This window comes from Homo sapiens, chromosome 12 (assembly GCF_000001405.40).
Source record: "Homo sapiens chromosome 12, GRCh38.p14 Primary Assembly".
Taxonomy (NCBI): Eukaryota; Metazoa; Chordata; class Mammalia; order Primates; family Hominidae; genus Homo; species Homo sapiens.
In genome coordinates, this window is record NC_000012.12 from 117635711 (window position 1) to 117660725 (window position 25015).

Genomic DNA, 25015 nt, shown 5'->3' on the forward strand with positions numbered 1-25015 from the left:
CCCTTCACCCAGTTTTCTGTAATGTAACCTCTTACATAACCACAATACATCTGTCAAAACAAAGAAACCACATTGGTATGTTACTTTTTTTTTTTTTTTGAGACAGAGTCTTGCTCTGTCACCCAGCCTAGAGTGCAGTGGCGCGATCTCAGCTCACCGCAACCTCCACCTCCCAGGTTCAAGCGATTCTCCCACCTCGGCCTCCTGAGTAGCTAGGATTACAGGCACACACCACCATGCCTGGCTAATTTTTGTATTTTTAGTAGAGATAGGGTTTCTCCATGTTGGCCAGGCTGGTCTTGAACTCCTGACCTCAGGTAATTCACCTGCCTTGGCCTCCCAAAGTCCTAGGATGACAGGCGTGAGCCAGGGCACCTGGCCAGTATGTTACTACTTTTAAATGCTAGACTTTATTTGGATTTTACTCATCTTCCACTAATGTCTTTTTCTATTGTAAGATCCATTCTACAATACCACATTTCATTGAAGAGAGAAATATTCCACTGCTGGGTATATAAGCAAAACAACAAAAAAAGGAAATATCCGTATATCAATGAAATATCTGCACTCCCGTGTTTGTTGGAAAAATAGTTAAAAAATAAAAAAATTAAAATAAATCTTATGTACTCCAAATATATATATATATATATGGATATATGTATATGGAGATATATATATATGTAAGGATATATATAATAAGAAAACATTTAAGATCATCCAGGTAGATATGAAAGAGGAAAACTGAAATAACAAACCAGTCACACCCAAGAGAACAGAATAGGGAGTACAGAAACAGTCCTGAGTTAAGGTACACACCTGATCAATGACAGGTTGACATGACAGATGAGTAGAGGAAGGAAGGTTATTCAATAAACGCCACTAGGCAACTGGTTATTCATCTGGAAAAAAAATAGGTCCCTAACTTATACCATATTCTGAAATCAATTCCAGGTTGATTAAGAGCTTAAATGTGAAAGGCAAAACTTCACAGATTTTAGAAGAATATATAGAACAATACGTTTATGACCTCAGGGAAGAAGAATTTGTTAAATAACATTTTTTAAAAGTCAACACCATAAAGGAAAGAAATGATACATTTGACTGCATTAACGTTAAGAACCCCTATACATCAAAAGAGCCAATAAAGGAAATAAGAAGGCACACTACAAACCAGCAGACATTTGCCACATATATACCAAAGCATTAGAATTCAGAATACTTTTTTAGTTTCTAAAAGTCAATAAAAAAAAAGAGAGGTAATTTAATAGGAAAAAATGGCAAATGACAGAGACATTTCACAGGTAATGAAACCTAAGAAGACTATAAACTTGGGAAAAGACCTTCAACCTCATCAGCAATTAGGGAAATGCAAACTGAAATTAAACTGAGGCACCATCTCCTCACCTTCTTGGCACAAAATTTAAGCAGCCTGGCCAAATGAAAGTTAGCAAGGATATGGAGCAACCTAAACAAAGCTGGTGAGCATATAAATTGATGCAACAATTTTGTCAGCCAATTATACATCATTTGTTCCAGTAGTTCTCAACTGGGGGTGATTTTGACACTCATCCCCACCTCGGGGCACATTTGACAATGTCTGGAGACATTTTGGTTTCATAAGTATGTGTGTAGATGGTAGGGGAAGAGTGCTACCAGCCTGTAATGGTAGGTGCCAAGAATGCTGCTACACATCCTGCAAGGCTCAGGGTAGCCCCTACCACAAAGAATTATCCATCTCAGTTGTCAATAGCACTGAGGTTGAGAAACTGATCACATCCAGTTGCAGATGTGCAGACTCTCAGACTGAGCAGATCTATTTCCAGGAGTATTTCCTAGATTGATATTTCCAACACTTTTCCTGATAAAAATTAAGAAGGGCACTTGAATCAATGACTAAATGTCAGTCAGGTCCCTGGGAAGGCTGATTCAAGAGGCTAGAAATGGGACCCAGCAGTCAGTTTTGGGTTTTTTTTTTTTTTTTTTTTTTTTGAGACAGAGTCTCGCTCTGTTGCCCAGGCTGGAGTGCAATGACACGATCTCAGCTCACTGCAACCTCCACCTCCCAGGTTCAAGCAATTCTCCTGCCTCAGTCTTATTTTTACATAAATGCCTAAGTAACTGGTAACACCAGAGAAGTTTGCAAAACTGTCCTAAATGCTCAAGTGTGCAAGAAGAATGTCCAAGAATGCCTCAAGGTAAAAAATAAATACATACATACATAAACAGAAAAAACAGGAAAGAATCCAAATGTCTTTCAACAGAGGAATGCTTACATTAATGGTGGCCTATTCATAGAATGAAGTGTTACTATATTTCCTCCACTCTAACACGACATTGACTGAAGTACATCACTAATTTACAAACCACTAAGATAAAAAGAGGCTGCCAATGAATCTAGGACACACCGCTTTCTCATACTTAACATTTTTGCCTAAGTGTTATTTTAAAATCTTTTTATTTAGATATATTTTGTTATATATTATGCTGCTCTCTTCCCACGTCTTCCTGCATAGACAATATTATAGGTGATTTTTTGTTTTAATGCCAAATTACAGTGTAATAGTTTTGAAGTCCTTTTAAATTCCGGTTAAACTCATGTAAGATCAACAATGAACAACACGACTGAAGTAATAACATGAAGAGCCACGTCCATGGGCCCTGGATGAGCAGGCAATGACAGCTACACCCTCACCATGCTGGGCAGACAGCCACTGTGGGGTGCCACACAGTGCAATTCACAGCCCTATTTCAGAGATACTGAACTGTTCACATAGCCCTGAACGAATCTCAAAAACAATATTCAGGGAAAAAAAAAAAAGCTGCAGAATATGTGAAATACGATCTCATTTCTATGAAGTTCAAAACTATGCAAAATTAAAAGATATACTATTTAGGGACATGTACATGTGAGGTTTCCCACAGGGGAAAGTGAGACCTGGTCAAACAAACTCAGGATGATGCTATCTCTGTGAGGAAAGGAAGGGGAAGGTAATCAGGAAATGCACATCGGGGCTTCCAGGAGCTTGTGATATTCGATTTCTCAAGTTCAAATTCAGGACTGAGCACTCAGGTGTTCATTTTATCAGGGCTGGAACTACCATGAGGCAAGTGAGGAAAAACCTCCAGCACAAAATTTAAGGGGATATCCAAAAAATTCAGGTATCAGGATAAAAATATTTTAATGCAATAATTTTTTAAAAATCAAAATGAATGCCCCCCAAAACTCCATGACCAACAAAGTACGATCGATAAAGACTTTTACATAAAGACGGGATTTAGCCCTGCACCTACCTGACACTGCTTCACAGGCCACACCCTAATCCCGGCCCTCATTCAAATAAAACTTTATTTTACAAAAAAGGCAGCTGGTTCACGTACATTGCCCACTTAGTTTTTGAAAATATTGTATTAAAATATTTTCATCTTGATATCTGAGCTTTGGGGCACCTCTTAAATTTTGCATCCAAGGCAAGCCTTTATTCCCAGCCCCACCCTAGTCCTGGCCCTGCATTTTATTTTTAAAGTATACATATTAATAGATTATAAACATATACATATAAGCACATACACACATATGTGTGTATGTAGACACACTAGTTTATTATTATTATCATCATTATTATTATTATTATTACTAGAGACAGAGTCTTGCTGTGTTGCCCAGGCTGGAGTGCAGTGGTGCGATCTCAGCTCACTGCAAACTCCGTCTCCCAGGTTCAAGCAATTCTCGTGCCTCAGCCTCCTGAGAAGCTGGGATTACAGGTGTGCACCACCATGCCCGGCTAATTTTTGTATTTTTAGTAGAGATGGGGTTTCACTATGTTGGCAAAGTTGGTCTCAAACTCCTGACTTCAAGGACTCCACCTACCTCAGCCTCCCAAAGTGCTGGGATTACAGGCATGAGCCACCGCACCCAGCGTATTATTATTATTATTATTATTATTATTATATTATTTTAATATTTTACTGAAAGGGAAAGCCAGCGAGAAAACTCAAAACAATACTTGAGGTGGGAGATGTCTCCTGTTGCACCCTCCCTCATGGTGGGAGAAATGTCCTCTTCAGATGTATCCGTCAATACCAGGAAGATCAAGGGGCATTTCCCACCACAAACTCCAAACAGATGGATCAGGAGCTTCACCGCAGCTTCTGCCAGCCTGGGCTGCTAGGAACCTTCTCCACCACCTCCCCGACAGTAGAATAGCACTCTTCAACTTAGAAGCCACTCTGTCATGCATTCCAGAGCTTAAGCTTTGTCACAAAGCTGCAGGGGAAGTGGAAAAATCCTCATTTTCCTGATGGGGAAACTGAGTCTCAGGGAGGTTGACTAACCCAGCCAACATTGCACAGCAAGGGGTGGCAGAGCCCGGCTCCTTGGTGGTATCGAATCCATTCAATATGCATTCCATCATGGCCAACTGACGGGTGGCCTTTCTGAATCAAGACACGCTTCACTTAGTTTACTATTACATCAGAAACTGGGGTGACAAGAGGAAGCAGATGGGGGGTTCCAATGAAGCTCTTTTTTTTTCTTTTTTTTGAGATGGAGCCCTATTCAGCCTTGAAGGCTCGCTCTGTCACTCAGGCTGGAGTGCAGTGGCGCGATCTCAGCTCACTGCAACCTTCACCTCCCAAGTTCAAGTGACTCTCCCACCTCAGCCTCCCCAGTAGCTGGGATTACAGGCATGTGCCACCACGCCCGGCTAAATTTTGTATTTTCAGTAGAGATGGGGTTTCACCATGTAGACCAGGCTGGTCTCAAACTTCTGACCTCAGGTGATCCACTCGCCTTGGCCTCCCAAAAGTGCTGGGATTACAGGTGTGAGCCACCGTGCCCAGCCTTGATGAAGCTCTTTTAACTGGGAAAATAGTTTCATCCAAAGAGCGTGTTCCCACAGTGTGGCAGGCAGTACAGACTCATGCACTTGAGGTTGGGCAGCAGCAGCAGCAACAGTCATGTCTAACTGGCTCCCACCCCTTCCTCCTCCCTGGGCCCCCGTGGACAGCACGTCCAGATACCCCTCCATGGCAAACAGCCGCCCAGAGCAATGGGCCATTTTGGGAAAGAGTATGTAACTCTTTATGGTCACTGGGGGGCCATCTGTGAGGTTATCACTCGAACACATTGACTGATGAGCAATTTCACAGCTGAGAAGAGCTCATGTCACTTCCCCCCAAAAGCACCCAGTTTACTCCCAGACTGATTATACAGTCACTGGGAAACGGACTCATTAGCACGCCACTTGCTGAGTCAAGGCTGAAGACATGCCCCTGATAGACACTGTGTTAGTCTCCTAGGCTGCTGTAACAAAGTACCACAAACTGGATGGCTTAAAACAATGGAAACGCATTCTCTCACAGTTTTGAAAGCTGTAAGGTTTTTTTGTTTTATTTTGTTTTGTTTTGAGATGGAATCTCACTCCGTTGCCCAGGCTGGAGTGCAGTGGTGCAATCTTGGCTCACTGCGACCTCTGCCTTCAGGTTCAAGCCATTCTCCTGCCTCAGTCTCCCAAGTAGCTGGGATTACAGGCGTGTGCCACCACGCCCAGCTAATTTTTGTATTTTTAGTAGAGACAGGGTTTCACTATGTTGGTCAGGCCGGTCTCGAATTCCTGACCTCAGAGCCGACCCACCTGCCTCTGCCTCCCAAGGTTAGAAGTTTTTATTTTTCAAGGTGTCATCAGGGCCACACCCCCTCTAAGACCACTAGTAGAATCTTTCCCTGCCTCTTCCTAGTTTCTGGTAGCTGTCCTTGGCATTCCTTGACTGGCAGCTGTGTCATCCCAATCTCTGCCTTTGTTGTCACATGACCTTTCTCCCTGTGCATCTCTGTGTCTGAATTTCCTTCTTTTTATAAGGACATCAGTCACATTGAATTAAAGGCCCGCCCTACTCCAGTATGACCTCACCTTAGCTTGCCTAATTATACCTGCAAGGACCCCGTTTCCAAATAAGGTCACATTCCAAGGTATTGGGGGTTAGGACTTCAACATATCTTTTTTAATGGGGGGCACAATTTAACCCATAGCAGACTTACCTGTCAGGTAGCAGAAGTTGCCCTTGAAGAGAAGAATAGAAACAGCACGGTTTAGTAGCACCTGAGGCGAAGGCTTGTGAGCTTCCCTCAGGTCCGAGATGAAAGCCTGGATACTAAACTAAAATCTGGATCTGACTCCCACCCACCTCTCCAGTCCCACCTCTAACATTCTCTCTCCCCTGCTTCATCCACAGAATCTTCCGTGTTCCTGAAACCTGCCAAGCTCTTTCAGCAGAGGCTATTCCTTCTGCCTTAAATGCACTTCCATCCCATCCCCGTTCATCATCTGGCTGGCCCTACTCAGCCTTGCAGCCTTGCAGTTTAACGACACTCACTCGTGGAAGCCTCCCCTGATCCCCGGCTAGATTAGGCATCCCTGTCCCCTCACCATTGCTGCTCCCCTGTTGTAGATTTCTGTAGCATTCTGAACTTCCACTTTGCAGCTCTTAACATTGTCATAATCGGCCCTTTTATATCTGTGTTCCCAGCAGCCTGGGTGTTCTATGAGAATGGAGATCTTGGACATCAATTCATCCGTTTCCTCGTTGCCCATCACAGCGGGTGAGCACTCAAAAAATGTTTCTGATTGGATGAACAGAAGGAGGAATGACTCTTGAAGATACAGAGTTGGAAGTTGTCCTAGGGGAAAAGCCATAGTTTCTATATATTTTCAAGGCTTCCTTCAAGGATCCAGAGCCAACTTTGCAGCATCAGAAAAAGCAGAAAAGAGCTCTGGACCTCAAGGTAAACGTACCTGTCCCTGAATCTTTCCTCCCTCTTGGTTGACCCTGAGAAAGCTGCTTAACTTAGCTGGACCATGTTGTCCTCATTTACAAAAGGAGAAGACTCAGACTCCACCTTCCCCAAAGGTTGTTACAAAGAAGACCATGCCCCTTGATACCTTACCAGGCTCTAAGCCATACTGGAGTTCGGGTGGACCTTTTTCATTAATCAATGATATGCTGATCTTGTGATGACTGAACTCAAATAGGAATTAGAAGTTTGGGGAAAATACTTTCCTTTCTAGAGCCTTGATTTTCCCATTTATAACATTCAAAGAAATTTCTAGGAGAGTAGTTTCCAAGTTGAGTTTTAAGGAGGAGGTGTCTCAGGGGCCACTGTTGTTAGGGAATGGAAGGAAGGGGAGACCCAGGGGATGGGAAACCAGGCCCCCAGGCTCCATGTAACCCACAATGATTCCACTTTTATCTGCTCATTCATCTACTGAGGTTTTAGACAGGATTCTTTTAGAAGAGAGGTTTTATTGCTAAATAAGAAGAAAGTTTTAAAATGCCAATCTAGAGAAATGGTTTCTGACTTGGATTTTATGCACCCATGAAATTAATAAATAGGGGACTACCTAGAGTTAGCAACTTTTCTTTCCTAGTAAGGACACTAAATAGAAACCATCAGCCGGGCACGGTGACTCACACCTGTGGTCCCAGCATTTTAGGAGGCCAAGGTGGGCAGATCACTTGAGGCCGGAAGCGCAAGACCAGCCTGGCCAACATGGTGAAACCCCATCTCTCCTAGAAATATTAATACAAAAATTAGCCGGGCATGGTGGCGGGTGCCTGTAGTCCTAGCTACTCGGGAGGGTGAGACAGGAGAATCGCTTGAATCTGGGAAGCGGAGGCTGCAGTGAGCCAAGATTGTGCCACTGCACTCTAGCCTGGGCAACAGAGCAAGACTCTATCTCAAAAACAAAACAAAACAACAACAACAACAAAATAGCCATTTATCATTATCATCATTTCATTTTTAAAAGACATTTAACACCAAAAAAGGATGCAGGATATGATCTTAAACTAAAAGTTTGTTTATTAAGTGCACGAACATACTTTATGGAAACACTCACTACATTGCCATTATTTTCTCAGGTGGTTGGCAGTTGGTGAAAATCATCACCAGGTCCTAACCCTGGTCTGCAGACTGGTCTCTGTATCCTAATTCCATGAGTGCTTGTTAAATAGCCCCCCGATTCTGGGCCCAGCCTCAGAGACAGGGATCAGCAGGTATAAGATGGGAAAGAGATTCAAATGCAGTGGATCCACAGAACCAGCATTTAGGAACCGCCAGAGCCTCCTCTCACTCTAAATCTTAGGTATGGGCTTGACAATTTTATTCTTAACACTACCGCACGATGCCTGACTTTGCAGATCTCCCATAAGCATCTGTTGAATGAATGAATGAATGATCCTTGGATGGGGTGTGGCAGATGTTTTAGGCCCTCTGGACAGCTGTTGAAGCCTCCTCTTTGGCCTTGTCCCCACAGGCTGATCTGTCTGTCGTCCATCCCAGGAAGCACAGTTGTGTATGTAGTTCTTGCCTGCCTGGCCACTCACTGTCTCCACCTCTGCAAATGTGGATTCAAGGGGCTGAGCAGCTGCCTTGGTGCCAGTTTGGCTGAAGATATAGCAAGCAGACCAGATAATCTGACAGTAATCAGTGTGTTAGTAAGCAGGAACAGCACTGGTGAATTATGGCCCTAGCGAGGCCTCTGCACCTGTAAATTACATGGATCATATCACAGTCTAAAACCTGTTTTTATTTCTAGGGCTTGGATACGGTTTGAGATGAGAAGAAAAAGTTCGCAGCATCTACATGGAAGTCATAGGTATTCAGAAAATCCTACTAGAGTTTAGCTCCACCTGTCTAGGACAGCTGCTGAATATGCAGGCTACTAAAGCAGGATCAGTGGTTCTTGATCTTGTCTGCATGTTGCAATCACCCAGGGAACTTTAAAAAGTACTAACCCCTGGACCCTATCCTCCAGGGGCTCTGATGTCATTGGACCAGAGTGCAGCCTAGGGATCAGAATTTTAAAATGCATCCCAGGTGATTTGAATGTGAAAGCAAGGTTGGAAACCACTAGGCAAGAAGCGCTTTCTTCTTGTTTCATGGTCAGCAGAAAGCCCATGGTGAAAGTGGGGAAAAGAGGGATTCCTGACACTCTCTGAAAGTACAATCTTGAATAATCAGAAAGAGAAATACTCATCAAACAGGTTCATGCTCCTCTTTCGAATTAATAATCATTCATATTCCCCCCTGGCCACTCCATGGGGGGACAAACAAACGAGAGCATGAATCACAGGTGCCCAACCCACAGACCAGTTGGTATCTATAGGCAGCAGTTGCTCTCGCGTGCTCAGCATCCCTATTCTGGTAATTACGTCACCCTGGTCTTTGGAAATCCACTCCGCTTGATTGCAACCCAGTTGATTCAGTGGAGTTGATTCACTCCATGGCTTCAAGAGTGGACCAATAACTTGGGCCACAGTTGGTTAGAGTGATCAGTTCAGGATAAACATGTATGTGTTTCCATCCATCTAATCAGAGCTAATACTGAGACTCTTTTTCTGATACACTTAGAACTGTGAAGATGGAAGTTTGGAGCAGTCAAAGGCTACTATGAAGAGGAAGCTTAACTGGGAATAAAACTCACAAGGAGAAAAACAAGGCTGTGAGATGAAGAAAGAGAAAGAATGTGTGCTGATGACACTGAGCTCCTGGATCCAGCCATTCCTGATGCCTTTATTCTAGAACTGGATTTTTTTTTAGTACATGAACCATCATGTTCACTTGTATTTGCTGAAACCAGTATGTGGTGGTTCTCTGTTACTTATATCAGAAAAAGTTCTACAAATGCAATCTTGGAGGCCTCCATGCCAGGTGTCCCTCTTTTGATAACAATCCCCACTCCTCTGCCCAAGTTCTATGGGATTTCCCAAAGGGAAAGAAGTTAGCTAAGTAAGAAATCATCTCCTCACTATAGACCCCTGAATCCCAACTTCAACCACATACCTGCTAGCAGAATTGAGTTTACACCCATGTAGAGGTCATATTGTTCCTTGGGCAAACCTCAATTTCACAATCTGCCTCCCCACCCAATGTTCCTGGAAGCAAAATCTCTAACTGTTTGGAAGGGGCTGTGATGGAACAGTGTGGCCAATCTTAGATCAACGCCTTAGTTTCTCATGAGGGCTAAGCATGAAATGTTCTCATCAAATACAGTGGGTGGAGAAGCCTCATCAAAAACCACTCTGCTTGAACTCTTCTTACAATTCCGAATACAGCACTGAAAAACAATTATGTCTTCTGGAATGTGCATGTGTATGTGCGTGTGTGTGTGTGTGTGTGTGTGTGTGTGTGTGTGTGTGTGTGTGTACAGCTGTCCTTCAGTATCCATAGGGGGTTGGTTCCAGGACACCCCACATATACCAAAATCCAATATGTTCAAGTCCCTGATATAAAATGGCATAGTCTTCATATATTAATAACTTACACAAAGCCTCCTGTATACTTTAAATCACCTCTACATTACTTATGATACCTAATACAATGTAAATGTTATGTACATAGTTGTTATACTCTATTGTTTAAGAAATAATGACAAGAAAAAAGTCAGTACATGTTCAGTACAGACATAATTATCCATGATTTTTCAAATATTTTAGATCTGAAGTAGGTTAAATCCATGGATGTAAAATCCATGAATACAGAGGGCCAGGGCTATTGTCTTGCAAAGCTGAAAATACTTGTTATTTGGCCCTCTGCAGAAGCAGCAGCTGAACCTATCCAGCCATTTCCAGCCCATAACATGCAGTATCAGCTCACTGGGTCCTCGTGGCAGCTCTGCGAGGCCGGGAACACTTACATCAATTAGTCCCATTTTATAGATGGACAAACAGACAGGTGAGGCGGCAGCCCAAGGTGACCCTACCGGGGCTCGCAGCCTCCCAGAAAGAGCTACTGCAGGACAAGGTGCTGTTTCCTAGGGTTTCCAGAGAAAGCTGCAGCCAAAGCCTGGAGGGTTTGGGGAATAGAAAGTAAATACTCCAGCTGGAAGCAGGCCAAGGCAGGCCAATTAACCCCGGGGATCCAGGACCCCAGGCTTGTCATGATGGAGTCAGCATCGAGTTTCTTCTGAAGGGGCGCACCAGCACCCGCCCTACAGAGCTCCTCCTCTGCCATCTGCCCCCTCCTTCTCACTCCTCAGTATTTAGCATCAAAGCCCCGGCATTGCTCCCAAAGAGACAGATGCTCTGACTTCTGAAGGGGCTTAGTCTTCCCTCCCTCCCGCAGTCCCCCAGCCACCACCTCCAAGTCCTCTCTGTCAGCAGCAAGGGTTTTTAAGGAATGCAGCGCAGAAGGGCTGCCAGTGTTCATGAGGCTGTGAAGGGTGGATGATTACAGCCAGCGGGGAGAGGAGAGGGAGAAAGAGCCAGGGAGAGGCAGAGACAGAGACAGAGATGAGAGACATGGTGACCAGGAGAAAGAAAGACGGAGAGGGTGAAAGCCACACAGAGAAAAAAGAGAGGAAGACAGGGCTCAAGGAAGAAAGTAACAGAAAAAGAGACTGGATGATCCAGACAGACAGACCTGAAGACAGATGTGACGGAGGAAGAGAGTAAAGAGAGTAAACAGAGGAGGGTTTTACTCTCCCTGTTAAGGTAGGAGAGAGTGAAGGGCGAAGAAGCTAAGTGCCCACCTCCGCCTGCCTGGTCATGCCCTGACTTTTAGCAAAGGAAAGAATGGCTTTAACAGAGACCTTCAACAGAGCAGCATGGGACACAGTAGAACACTTTTCACTTTTATCCCCGGCCAAGAAGAATTTGGCCTGAGATGAAAAGCAGGGTCTCAGATCCTGCCCACAGACTGATGGGGCCAAGCCTCAGAGTGCAGGTGTGTGCCAGGAGCCAGCACGGGCCCAGGGTGCCATGGGTGGGAGGCTGTGGCACGTCCACGCAAGGCCTTGGAAGCAGCCTGTTATTTGGAGAAGGAAGAGTCCCTCCATTCAAATGAGTGACAAAGAGGTAAATCCCCAAGGTGAAAATCCAAGTTATCAAAGCTACATCCTAGGGGCATAATCATAGCTGGGAGAACAGGCTTTTGTGGCATGTTAGTGATGCTGGAGATCAGGGGAGGGGCCAGGAGCACAGTCCTAAGGATGAGAAGGAAGTCTGACCCATCCGTTTTTGTTCTAATTTTTAGTGACAGAGTCTCACTCTGTCGCCCAGGCTGGAGTGCAGTGGCGTGATCATAGCTCACTGCAACTTCAATCCTGCTGCCTCAGCCTCCTGAGTAGCGGGGACAACAGGTGCACACCACCACGTCTGGCTTTTTTACCTTTATTTTTTTGTAGATATGGGGGTCTCAGCACATTGCCCAGGCTGTTCTCAAATACCTGGGCTCAAGCAATCCTCCTGCTTTGGCCTCCCGAAGTGCTGAGATTACAGATGTAAACCACCACACCCAGCCTAACCCTGTCTTTTTAAAGACAAAAGTTCCAGTTACAAGAATCAGCAAGGGACATACCATTTATGGCAGGTCCAATGGTCACAAACTGGTGGCCCCATATATATATTGCTTAACCTGTGATGGTTTTTATAAAAAACATTTTACTCCATTGCCAATATTTTAAAAATTTTGAGATTACCTACAAAAATCTAGATGTCTGGCTTCTCTCAGAAAATTTGGATAATGTGATGACAATTTTTCCCTTTCCCATAGAGCAATGACTGACTTGGACTGGACGTTGACTGCCTTCTTTAGAAGTGGAGGAGGAGGTGATCTCCTGTTTGCCACAATCTTCACCACCCCCACCATTGTCCGACACCAACTGCATCCTTCATCTCTGATGACCCCTAACGTCCTCAATCTGGATTCACTGAGTAACCATTGTGCCCCTAGCATAAGGCATTGGGGCTTCATTTATGCATTCAAAACATACTTGTTCAGAGCCTATAATGTAGCAGGCTATGGATATGAGGATATGGCAGTCAACAGAAAAGATAAGATATTGCCTTTACAGAGCACAGTCTTGTGGATGGGACAGACCATAATCCTTAACATTTCATTTCCTACAGTCTTCACCATAACCTTGCCAGGAAGGTATTGCTATCACTGTATACATCAGGAAACTGAGGCTTGAATATTTTCTTATGCTTAGTGAGGTAGGTGCTTGTGTTTAGGGGTGTTACTGAAAATATTTAACCACCCTTATGGGCTGGCATGGGCCAAATAGAAACATATCCAACCAATCACGCCAAGCCAATGAGGAAATATGCTCAGCCAAACAGAAAATATGCCCAGCCAATCAGAAAATAGGCCTGGCCAATCAAAATATACACTCAACCAATCAGAACACACACCCAAAAACATGCCCAACCAATCAGATTGAACAGTGCTACAGATGCGCAACAGCTGAATGTCTACGCTGCCTGTCTGTTTGCTGTCTTACTAGGCAGGGATAATGATACTTTGTCCATCTGAACAATTTCTGGTTTCCAAATGGTGATCACACACCTCCCAACAATCAACAGTTTTGTGAGGTATGCAGATGGCATCAATATGCACATTTGCCAGATGAAGAAACCAAGGCTCTGAAATGTTGAGTGATCTAACAAGAGCCAGACAGCCAGGGGTAACAGCCCTGGAAGGAAAACCAAGATTTCCCAACTCCTGGACCAGAGTTTTGCCTGCATCCTAGAGGGCTTCTAACCAACTCGACTGCAAGTTCACTGAGGTCAGGGACTGTAACGTACATTTATTTGACTCCTCCCTGATACTCAGTATCTTATTTTACATTTCAGATGTTCAATCAATACTGATTGCTGCATTCAGGTATGCTGTAGGGTGGGGCGATATCCAGCAGAAACCAATGAGGATTAAAGCTGACCTAAATCCAAACACCATACAACAGTATCAACAATCACAACACTTAGGTACTGCTTCCTTTGCAGCAGGCATAGTGCTTAGGATCCTTTCATTTCATCCCAATAATCAATCCATGAGAAAGGGATATGATGCCCAGTTTTAAAGATGGAGAACCTGAGGCTTGGAGCTGGTAAGTAATACAGGGCAGAGATAAGATCTGAACCCAGGCTTGTCCAACTCTCAGTTGCCTGCCTGGCCAAAGCCAGGATGCCATGGCTTTGCCCTGGGAGTGGGGCTGAGTCTCTACTTGGTACCATGATTAACTCTCCCTAGAAGGCTATGTGCTTCCTAGAGGAGTGTCAGGGGATGGGAGAAAAAAGAAACTCCTTTCCAGGGATCACTGGGGAATACAGCCCAACAGAAACAGAGAACTGAAATGGTTTTCTGTACAATGGTAGAGACACAGCCTGCTAATTCAGGTCATGAACTGATCTGGCCTGGGGTTGGAGGAGTGCTCCTCAAAGTCTTTGAAGACAGGGACCCCACATTATTCATGCTTGCTCTAGTGAACACTGATTGTCAGCCTCCCCAGCATTCATTCTCTCTTTTAAGCAAATGTCATGGTTAATACTGAGTGACAACTTGATTGGATTGAGGGATACACATTATTAATCCTGGATGTGTCTGTGTGGGTGTTGCCAAAAGAGTCAGTGGGCTGGGGAAAGCAGATCCACCCTTAAACTGGTGGGCACAATCTAATCAGCTTCCAGGGAATATAAAGCAGGCAGAAAAATGTGAAAAGGAGAGATGGGCCTAGCCTCCCAGCCTACATCTTTCTCCCGTGCTGGATGCTTCCTGCCCTCAAACATACAACCATACAACTCCAAGTTCTTCAGTTTTGGGACTAAGACTGGCTCTCCTTGCTCCTCAGCTTGCAGACAGCCTATTGTGGGACCTTGTGATCGTGTAAGTTAATATTTAATAAACTCATATATATCTCCTATTAGTTCTGTCCCTCTAAGAGAACCCTGACTAATATAGATTTTGGTACCAGGAGTGGTTTTAGAGGAATAGAATATTAAGGATGGAGTTCTTTCATTGATTTGGGGGTTTCTGGAGTTGGCTGCTTAATATGATTAGACCCAAAAATGCTAAGGACTCTACTTCTAATAGTATAGAGAACACTGATAGTCCTTGGCATGAACTGTTTAGAGAATTATGCAAAATAAATGCATTTGAGACTCCTGATTCACTGCTTATGAAAGGCAAGGAGTTTAGTGACGCTATACATAATACCTTTGACCATATTTGGAGACCCAAGGAACACAATGAAGCTGGTTGGCTGCTCCTAAGTTCAGTAGACAAAGTGATGAAATAAAATTATGAAAGAAATTATGAACTCAGGGATTCTGTCTCCCAGCTTCAGAAACAGATACTGAACCTCAAATCTACTAAGATTGCCCTGAGTGAGTCTTATCTCCTGTAGAGAAAGAGCTGAAATTGTGGAAAAACAGACATAAGCTCTTACCATGTGAGTGGCTGGCTAACCTGCAATGAAAGGTGCATGCACAGCCTCACCAGGTGTTTACTGTTAAAGTGAGGGCATTGATTAGAAAAAAATGAGACCCTGAAATTTGGAATGGGGATTTGTGGGAGGACCCTGATGAAGCTGGGGACATTGAGTTTGTAAACTCTGATGGACCCTTTTTGCCAGAAGGAACAACTTCCCCATCCCCAGAAATGGCAACATCCCCTCCCCAACCCATGCTGCCATCAGCCTTTCCACCTTTGTCTGAGGGGATAAACCCTGCCCTGCCTGAGGCAACAGTGATGGCCTCCTCTGAGGCAGTTGCCAGGCAAAATAATGTTGATTCTCCTCAGGAGCCACCCCCAATACCCCTGTTTGCTTCTAGACCTATAACCACACTCAAGTCCCAGAGGGTCCCTGGAGGTGAGGTTGAGAGTGTGACCCATGAGGAGGTGCACTACACTCTAAAAGAACTGTTTGAGTTCTCCAATTTATATAAACAGCAATCTAGAGAACAGGCATGGGAATGGATATTAAGGGTGTGGGATAATGGGGGAAGGAACACAGAGTTGGATCAGGCTGAATTTATTGATTTGGGCCCACTAAGTAGGGACTCTGCATTTAATGTTGCATATTGGGGAGTTAAAAAAAGGTTCTAATAGTTTATTTGCTTGGTTAGCCGAAATATGGATTAAAAGATGGCCCACTGTGAGTGAGTTGGAAATGCCTGATCTCCCTTGGTTTAATGTAGAGGAAGAGATCCAAAGGCTCAGGGAGATTGGGATGGTGGAGTAGATTAGTCACTTTAGACCTACTCATCCCAGCTGGGAGGGTCCAGAAGATATACCCTTGACCAATGTCTTATGAAATAGATTTGGGAGGGCAGCACCTACATCTTTGAAGAGCCCTGTAATTGCTCTTCTCTGTATGTCAGATCTAATGGTAGGAACCACAGTCACTCAACTACAAAATTTACATACAAGGGGAATAATTGGATCCCAAGGTGGCAAGGGCCAAGTGGCAGCACTCAACTGTCAAAGGCAAGGTGAGAGTAGCTACTGTAATGGACAGCAAAGGCAAAGTGGCAATCAGAATACTCTGACTCTAAGTGAAGTAACTCAGGAATGGAAAACCAAACATTGTATGTTCTCATTGATATGTGGGAACTAAGCTATGAGGACGCAACGGCATAAGAATGATACAGTGGACTTTGGGGACTCAGGGGCAGTGTGGGAGGGGGGCGAGGGATGAAAAGACTACAAATATGGTACAGTGTATACTGCTCGGGTGATATGTGCATCAAAATCTCACAAATCACCACTAAATAACTTACTCATGTAACCAAATACCACCTGTACCCCAATAACTTATGGAAAAAATAAAAATAATAATAATTTAAAAAAGAATACTCTGACTCATGTAGATCTCTGGCATTGGCTAATTAATCACAGTGTTCCTAGAAGTGAAATTGATAGGAAGCCTACTGCATTCCTACTTAAATTATACAAATGGAAAATTTCTAGGTAGGATGGACAAAAGGCTAATTTGAATTATAAAAACAGAGAATCACAGCCCCTCAGTCAATTTCCAGACTTGAGCCAGTTTACAGAACCAGAACCCTTTGAATGAAGGGCAGGCTGGGTCCCTTGAGGAAGGACCCCACTACATTACAGACAATTTATGCAGTGAATCTTTCTCCCATCCTTCCCCAAGGACACCTCCAGCCTTTTAACGGGGTAACTGTGCACTGGGGAAAGGGAAATGATCAGACATTTCAGGGACTACTGGACACTGACTCTGAGCTGACACATTCCAGGGGACCCAAAAACATCACTGTGGTCCTCCAGTTAAGGTAGGAGCTTATGGAGGTCAGGTAATTAATGGAGTTTTAGCTCAGGTCTGATGTACAGTGGGTCCAGTGGGTCTCCGGACTCATCCTGTGGTCATTTCCCCAGTGCCAGAATGCTTGATTGGCATAGACATACTCAGCATCTGGCAGAACCCCCACATTGGCTCCCTGACTGGTAGGATGAGGACTATTTTAGTGGGAAAGGCCAAATGGAAGCCATTAGAGCTGCCTCTACCTAGAAAAATAGTAAATCAAAAACAATATTGCATCCCTGGAGGGATTGTGGAGATTAGTGCCACCAACAAGGACATGAAAGACACAGGGGAGGTGATTCTCACCACATCCCTGTTCAACTCTCCCATTTGGTCTGTGCAGAAGACAGATGGATCTTGGAGAATGACAGTGGATTATCATAAGCTTAACCAAGTGGTAACTCCAACTGCAGCTGCTGTACTTGTACCAGATGTGGTTTCATTGCTTGAGCAAATCAACATATCTCTGGCTACCTGGTATGCAGCCATTGACTTGGCAAATACCTTTTTCTCCATTCCTGTCCATAAAGCCCACCAGAGGCAATTTACCTTCAGCTGGCAAGGCCAGCAATATACCTTCACTGTCCTACCTCAGGGGTATAGAAACTCTCTGGCTTTGTGTCATAATCTTATTCGGAGAGAGACCTTGATTGCTTTTTGCTTCTGCAAGATATCACACTGGTCCATTACATGATGACATTATGTTGATTGGATCCAGTGAGCAAGAAGTAGCAAACACACGGGACTTATTGGTGAGGCATTTGCATGCCAGAGGATGGGAAATAAATCCAACTAAAATCAGGGATCTTCTACCTCAGTAAAATTGCTAGGGGTCCAGTGGTGTGGGACCTGTCGAGATATTCCTTTTAAGGTAAAGGATAAGTTGCTGTATTTGGCCCCTCCTACAACAAAAAAGAGGCACAACGCCTAGCGGGCCTATTTGGATTTTGGAGGCAACACATTCCTCATTTGGGTGTGTTACTCCAGTGCATTTATCAAGTGACCCGAAAGGCTGCCAGTTTTGAGTGGGGTCCAGAACAGGAGAAGGCTCTGCAACAGGTCCAGGCTGCTGTGCAAGCTGCTCTGCCACTTGGGCCATATGATCCAGCAGATCCAATGGTGTTTAAGGTGTCAGTCGCCGACAGGGATGCTGTTTGGAGACTTTGGCAGGCTCCCATAGGTGAATCACAGCAGAGGCTTCTAGGATTTTGGAGCAAGGCCCTGCCATCTTCTGCAGATAACTACTCTCCTTTTAAGAGACAGCTCTTGGCCTGTTACTAAGCTTTGGTGGAAACTGTACATTTGGCTATGGGTCATCAATGTGACCTGAACTGCCTATGTGACCCGAACTGCCTATCATGAACTGGGTGCTTTCTGACCCATGTAGCCATAAAGTGAGTCGTGCACAGCAGCATTTCATCATCAAATGGAAGTGGCATATACGGGATTGGGCTTGAGCAGGTCCTGAAGGCACAAGTAAGTTACATGAGGAAGTGGCTCAAATGCCCATGATCTCCACTCCTGCCATCCTGCCTTCTCTTCCCCAGCCTACACCGATGGCCTCATGGGGAGCTCCCTATGATCAGTTGACAGGAAGAGAAGACCAGGGCCTGGTTCACAGATGGTTCTGCACAATACGCGGGCACCACCCGAAAGTGCACAGCTGCAGCACTACAGCCCCTTTCTAGGACATCCCTGAAGGACAGTGGTGAAGGGAAATCTTCCCAGTGGGCAGAACTTCGAGCAGTGCACCTGGTTGTGGACTTTGCCTGGAAGGAGAAAGACCAGATGTGTGATTATATACTGATTTGTGGGCTGTAGCCAGTGGTTTGGCTGGATGGTCAGGGACTTGGAAGAAGCATTATTGGAAAATTGGTGACAAAGAAATTTGGGGAAGAGGTATGTGGATGGAACCCTCTGAGTGGTCAAAAACTGTGAAGATATTTGTATCCCATGTGAGTGCTCACCAACGGGTGACCTCAGTGGAAGAGGAGTTCAATAATCAAGTGGATAGAATGACCCACTCTGTGGACGCCACTCAGCCTCTTTCCCCAGCCACCCCTGTCATTGCCCAATGTGCCCATGAACAAAGTGGCCACGGTGGCAGGGATGGAGGTTACGCATTGGCTCAGCAACATGGACTTCCACTCACCAAGGCTGACCTGGCTACGGCCACTGCTGAGTGCCCAATTTGCCAGCAGCAGAGACCAACACTGAGCCCTCGATATGTCACCATTCCTCAGGGTGATCAGCCAGCTACCTGGTGGCAGGTTGATTATATTGGACCTCTTCCATCATGGAAAGGGCAGAGGTTTGTCCTCACTGGAATAGACACTTACTCCAGATATGGGTTTGCCTCTCCTGCACACAATGCTTCTGCCAAAACTACCACCTGTGGACTCACGGAATGGCTTATCCACCACCATCATGGTATTCCACACAGCATTGCCTCTGACCAAGGCACTCACTTTACAGCTAAAGAAGTGTGGCATGGGCTCATGCTCATGGAATTCACTGGTCTTACCATGTTCCCCATCATCCTGAAGCAGCTGGATTGATAGAACGGTGGAATGGCCTTTTGAAGTCACAATTACAACACCAACTAGGTGGCAATACTCTGCAGGACTGGGGCAAAGTTCTCTAGAAGGCCGTGTATGCTCTGAATCGGCATCCAATATATGGTACTCTTTCTCCCATAGCCAGAATTCACAGGTCCAGGAATCAAGGGGCGGAAGTGGCACCACCCACCATCACCCCTAGTGATCCACTAGCAAAGTTTTTGCTTCCTGATCCCACGACATTACGTTCTGCTGGCCTAGAGGTCTTAGTTCCAGAGGGAGGAACGCTGCCACCAGGAGACACAACGATTCCACTAAACTGGAAGTTAAAATTACCACCTGGACACTTTGAGCTCCTCCTACCTTTAAGTCAACAGGCTAAGAAGGGAGTTACAATGCTGGCTGGGGTGAATGACCCAGACTATCAAGATGAAACCAGTCTGCTACTCCACAATGGAGGTAAGGAAGAGTACGCATGGAATACAGGAGATCCATTAGGGCATCTCTGAGTATTACCATGCACTGTGATTAAGATCAATGGGAAACTACAACAGCCCAATCCAGGCAGGACTACAAATGACCCGGACCCTTCAGGAATGAAGGTTTGTGTCACTCCAGCAGGAAAAAAACCACGACTTGCTGAGGTGCCTGCTGAAGGCAAACGGAATACAGAATGGGTAGTAGAAGGTAGTCATCAATACTAGCTATGACCACGTGACCAGCTGCAGCAATGAGGACTATAACTGTCATGAGTATTTCCTCCTTCTTTTGTTAAACACATGTTTGTGTACGTATACCCTTGTACTAAGAAAATATCTTCATTTTATTTCCTTTTCCTTTATCATGTGACATAAGATTTATTGTCTGCGTATCAGCATTTAAGCATTGCTAACTTTATATAATAGTATTTGAGTTAGAGGTTGGTGCATTTCTGGTTATATGAAGGATAGTTGTGGCCAGGCATGGTGGCTCACGCCTGTAATCTCAGCACTTTGGGAGGCCGAGGTGGGTGGATCACCTGAGGTTGGGAGTTCGAGACAAGCCTGACCAACATGGAGAAACCCCACTAAACCTCTACTAAAAATACAAAATTAGCTGGGCGTGGTGGCACATGCCTGTAATCCCAGCTACTCAGGAGGCTGAGGCAGGAGAATCACTTGAACCCAGGAGGTGGAGGCTGTGGTTAGCCAAGATCGTGCCATTGCACTCCAGCCTGGGCAACAAGAGTGAAACTGAATCTAAAAAATTAACGTTTGAGTCAGCGGGCTAGGGAAGGCAGATCCACCCTTAATCTGGTGGGTACAATCTAATCAGCTTCCAGTGAATATAAAGCAGGTAGAAAAACATGGAAAAGGAGAGATGGGCCTAGCCTCCCAGCCTACATCTTTCTCCCTTGCTGGATCTTCCTGCCCTTGAATATTAGACTCTAAGTTCTTCAGTTCTGGGACTCAGACTGGCTCTCCTTGCTCCTCAGCTTGCAGACAGCCTATTGTAGGACCTTGTGATCATGTAAGTTAATACTTAATAAACTCCCCTTTGTGTGTGTGTGTATACATATATATAATAGGATATATATATATATATAATAGGATATATATATATAATAGGATATATATATATATATATATATATATATATATATCCTATTAGTTCTATCCCTCTAAGAGAATCCTGACTAATACTGCGAAACTCTCCATTTCTAAGCCCATAGCTTAGATCATGGCCCAAATAAAGCCAGTAAGTATCCATCCCATTTCTCTGGCTCTGCTGATTGGTTCAGAGATGAGTACACAGTCAAGCCTGTGGATTCAGAGTGAATCTCAGATCTAAACAATCTTACTCTGCCGCTATGGACTAGAATAGGGGAGACTGCTGGGGCCATCTTGTCACCAAATAGAGCATAAAAGTGAAGCCGACCTAAAAACAGCAGGGCTGAGAGATAGAGACTAAGTCACAACATGAACAGAGCCCTTAGATCCAGCCATACCTGAAGGCTACATAGCCTATGGACCTTCTAGTTACATGTGTCAATAAATTACCTTTATATTTAAAAACAAAACAAAACACTTAGGTTGGGTTACCTGTCACTTGTAACCAACCATGAATCCCAATCACCAACATCACCATGCAGTGATAAAGAGCTGCTTATTTTTCAATCAACAAAATGGTTTCGGGGGCAGTTTTTCTTGGACACTTGCTTCCCTAGTCAGTTAAGCAGGAGAAACATCCATAAATCCAAAGACTGCATCCAAATCCAGAGACTTCAGTTCCTGCCTGGGTGAAGCCAAGCCCAGCCAGCCCTGCAGCTCTGGAGGGCAACAAGTAGAATTCTTTGTCCTTTGCCATCTAGGTCCTGAGTAGCTAAAGGTTCACAGTGCTGGACACAAAGTGAATGCTCAAAAATGTTCGTTGCTATCTATTCAAAACTATTTTGTGTGTGCTAGCTCCATGCCAGGCACAGTGATGAACAAGACTGACGTAGTCACTGCCTTCATGGAACTGATATTAGAGGAATGAGGCATGAAACAAATACTCATATAAGTACACATATACCTGCACATTGTGCTAAGTGCTTCTAAAGAAAAGTACAGAGATGAGAAAAGGTGTAACTGATCTAACTTAGAATGTCAGGCAATGCTTTCCCAAGGAAACATTAATTCAGATGGAAGTGATAATAATGAGCGTGTGTCCATTAGCCTAAGAGTTCATGGCAAGAGAGAGCATAGTTCAGTGAAGGAATTCATGTGACGGGGCAGAGAGAGAAAAATGAAGCTAGAGAGAGCACAGGAGCCAGCCAGGGTCTGGCATGACACGTTAAGGATCTGGGCTGTAGACTATGAACAGTGGGAGACTGTGGTAGAATCTTATCTTAATTGGGGTTGAGAGCCAGATTTTCACTTTGGGAAGATTACATCAATGGATTGGATTTGGGTCAAAGTGGATACAGGACGATCCATTTGGAAACTATTGCATAGTTTGGACAAGGGTGGTGATGATGGAGGAGGAGATGAAAAAAAGTGGAAGGACAGAGGTCACAGTCTACATCCCATGAACCAAATCTGGCCCTCCGCCTGCTATTGTAAGTCAAGTTCTACTGAAACACAGCCACATCCATTTGTTTTGGTATTGTCTCTGGATGCTTTGTGTTACAATGGCAGAGTTGAGTAGTTGTCACAGAAATCATACAGCCTGCAAAATTGGAAATATTTACTATCTGGCCTTTTACAGAAAAAGGTTGCTGACCCCTGATTTAGAAGCCTCACTCAACAAGACATGGAAGATAGGGCATCATGGAAAAGAAGGGTCAAAGTTCACACCTAAATATAGGCTTACCCAGCTGGATAGATGGGCAAGACGAGGCTGCCAGAAGAGGACCAGGCTTGTTGGGGAGGAGGGTAAATTTGGTTGAAACAAACCCAACCCCCCTGCAGCGCTACCACTTCATAGAAATGAGGTCAGGCCAAGTCATGTGCAGAAAGATCGTGCAACCTGGTGTCTGAAGGCGTTATGGTTTTTAGTCTTGCCTCTGATGCACTCTGTAACTGCCAGCCAGGAATTTTCCTCTCTTGGTACGTCAGTTTTCTCATCCACAGAATGGGGATGCAGGGGCACTGATAAGGAATACGAATGCCTTGTGTACACCGTACAGTTCTATCGCAGATAGAAATCAACTGATGTTTTGAAATCAGCTGATGCTCAAGAGAGGGGTTACTGGGACAAAGGCAGGATCGATCAGACACAGGTCCTGATGAGGGGGAATGGGATTGCCCACTCTGACAGCATGTACCTGACCGAGGATCAGGACTTAACTCCAACAGACACAAATGGCCCCCTTGCTTTCTAACGCCAACCACTTACCTACCAATTTTGGTCACCACAACTCCTGGTGAAAGCAATCATAACAAAAGGGCTGAGGTTGTCTACTGCATGCTGAGCCCAAACTGTTTTTGCTAGGGCAAGAAGTACAAAATATGTAGGCAGGGACAAGAGAAGACTGATGATAAGAACCCAGAAGTTGCCTCTCATGGAACATACACACCCACACATGCACACACACATACAGCTCACGTCCGCATGCTTCAGCAGCCCTCCATACAGACAAAAAGTGTCACCATTTAAACAAAGACACGCTAACTTCCTTTGAACTTCCACCACCTTGTTGCTAAGCACTTTGAGTGGCAGCAGAGACTGCTGTTCTGCAACCCTCTTGATATAATGGAGAGAGCCATTGGTTGGCATCAGGAGACTCAGGTTCAAGCCCCAGCTCTATAGCCCTGGGCAAGTCCTTCCTACTCTCTAGCCTCAGTTTCCCCATCTGTAAAACAAGGGGCTGGACTCAGTGATTTCTGAGGCCCTTTCCAGCTCTGACATCTATCCTAGAACAGAGATTAAAAATTGGCAGCCCCCAAACAAAATGCAACCCGCAAATCTGTGGAGTTATCCAACATGAGCTTATACAGTGTCAAAGGATGTATAATTGGTTGCTAACATTTTTAAAATGGGAGAGTGCTTGTAAAAGTCAGGATCTCCAACTTCTGAACAAATCAAACAATCTGGCAGCACAGTGCTGGGCCCACATCTCCACGCAGCCACACCTGCTGGGGCTGGAGAGCAGCTGCCCCTGCCTCACCTCTTTCTTCTCTCCCCCACATCAGGCTGCTACACCCTTTTCAGGTACTTCTCAGAACCCAGTAGGTATCTCAGAGGAAAAGTCCTGTTCCAGCTGGCATTTAAGGTGACACTGAGACTTTGAATAGGTATTGACTTGCCATGATTATACAGATTGGCCCTGGTACTGCCTTTCCTTATTCTTATTTGGAAAATGAGGAGGAGGTCTGCGTTGGTTTCCTAGGGCTGCTATAATAAAATACCAAAAACTGGTGGCTTAAAACAAGACAGGTTTATTCTCTCACTGTTCTAGAGGCCAGAAGTCCAAGATTAAGGAGGTTCTTGATTTTCAAAGCAGGGTTGGTTCTTTCTGGAGGCTCTGAGGAGAGCATGTCCTCATGAGTCTCTTCCAGCTTCTGGTGGCTCTGGCAATCCTTGGTGTTCCTTGGCTTGTAGACTCATCAGTCCAATCTCTGTCCCTATCTTTACCTGGTGCCATCCTGGTATCTCTGTCCAAATTTCCCTCTTCTTATGAGGACACCAGTCATACTGGACTAGGGCCCATTCTAATGACCTCATTTTAACTTGATCACACCTGCCAACACCCTATTTCCAAATAAGGCACATCCACAGGTGTGTGGGGTAGGATTTGGGCACATCTTTTTGAGGCCACAATTCAACCCATGACAAGGCCGAATCTACCTCATTAAACAGGGGTGGAAATGAACACACAACACAAGAGGT

The 25015-nt window shown here is 44.7% G+C and overlaps 1 protein-coding gene across 7 annotated transcripts in view, besides 1 other annotated feature; it reads right to left on the bottom strand.

Annotated features, from left to right (window-relative positions):
• KSR2 (kinase suppressor of ras 2) overlaps positions 1 to 25015 on the bottom strand; it is a 515979-nt gene that overhangs the window by 182699 nt on the left and 308265 nt on the right. The window lies entirely within an intron of this gene.
• Positions 4710 to 5209: an enhancer, noted in NCBI's record as "H3K27ac hESC enhancer chr12:118078225-118078724 (GRCh37/hg19 assembly coordinates)". NCBI's record gives its function as "activates a minimal SCP1, AML or CMV promoter by ChIP-STARR-seq in naive H9 embryonic stem cells {active_cell/tissue: H9 hESC(naive)}" and the evidence as "EXISTENCE:reporter gene assay evidence [ECO:0000049][PMID:30033119]".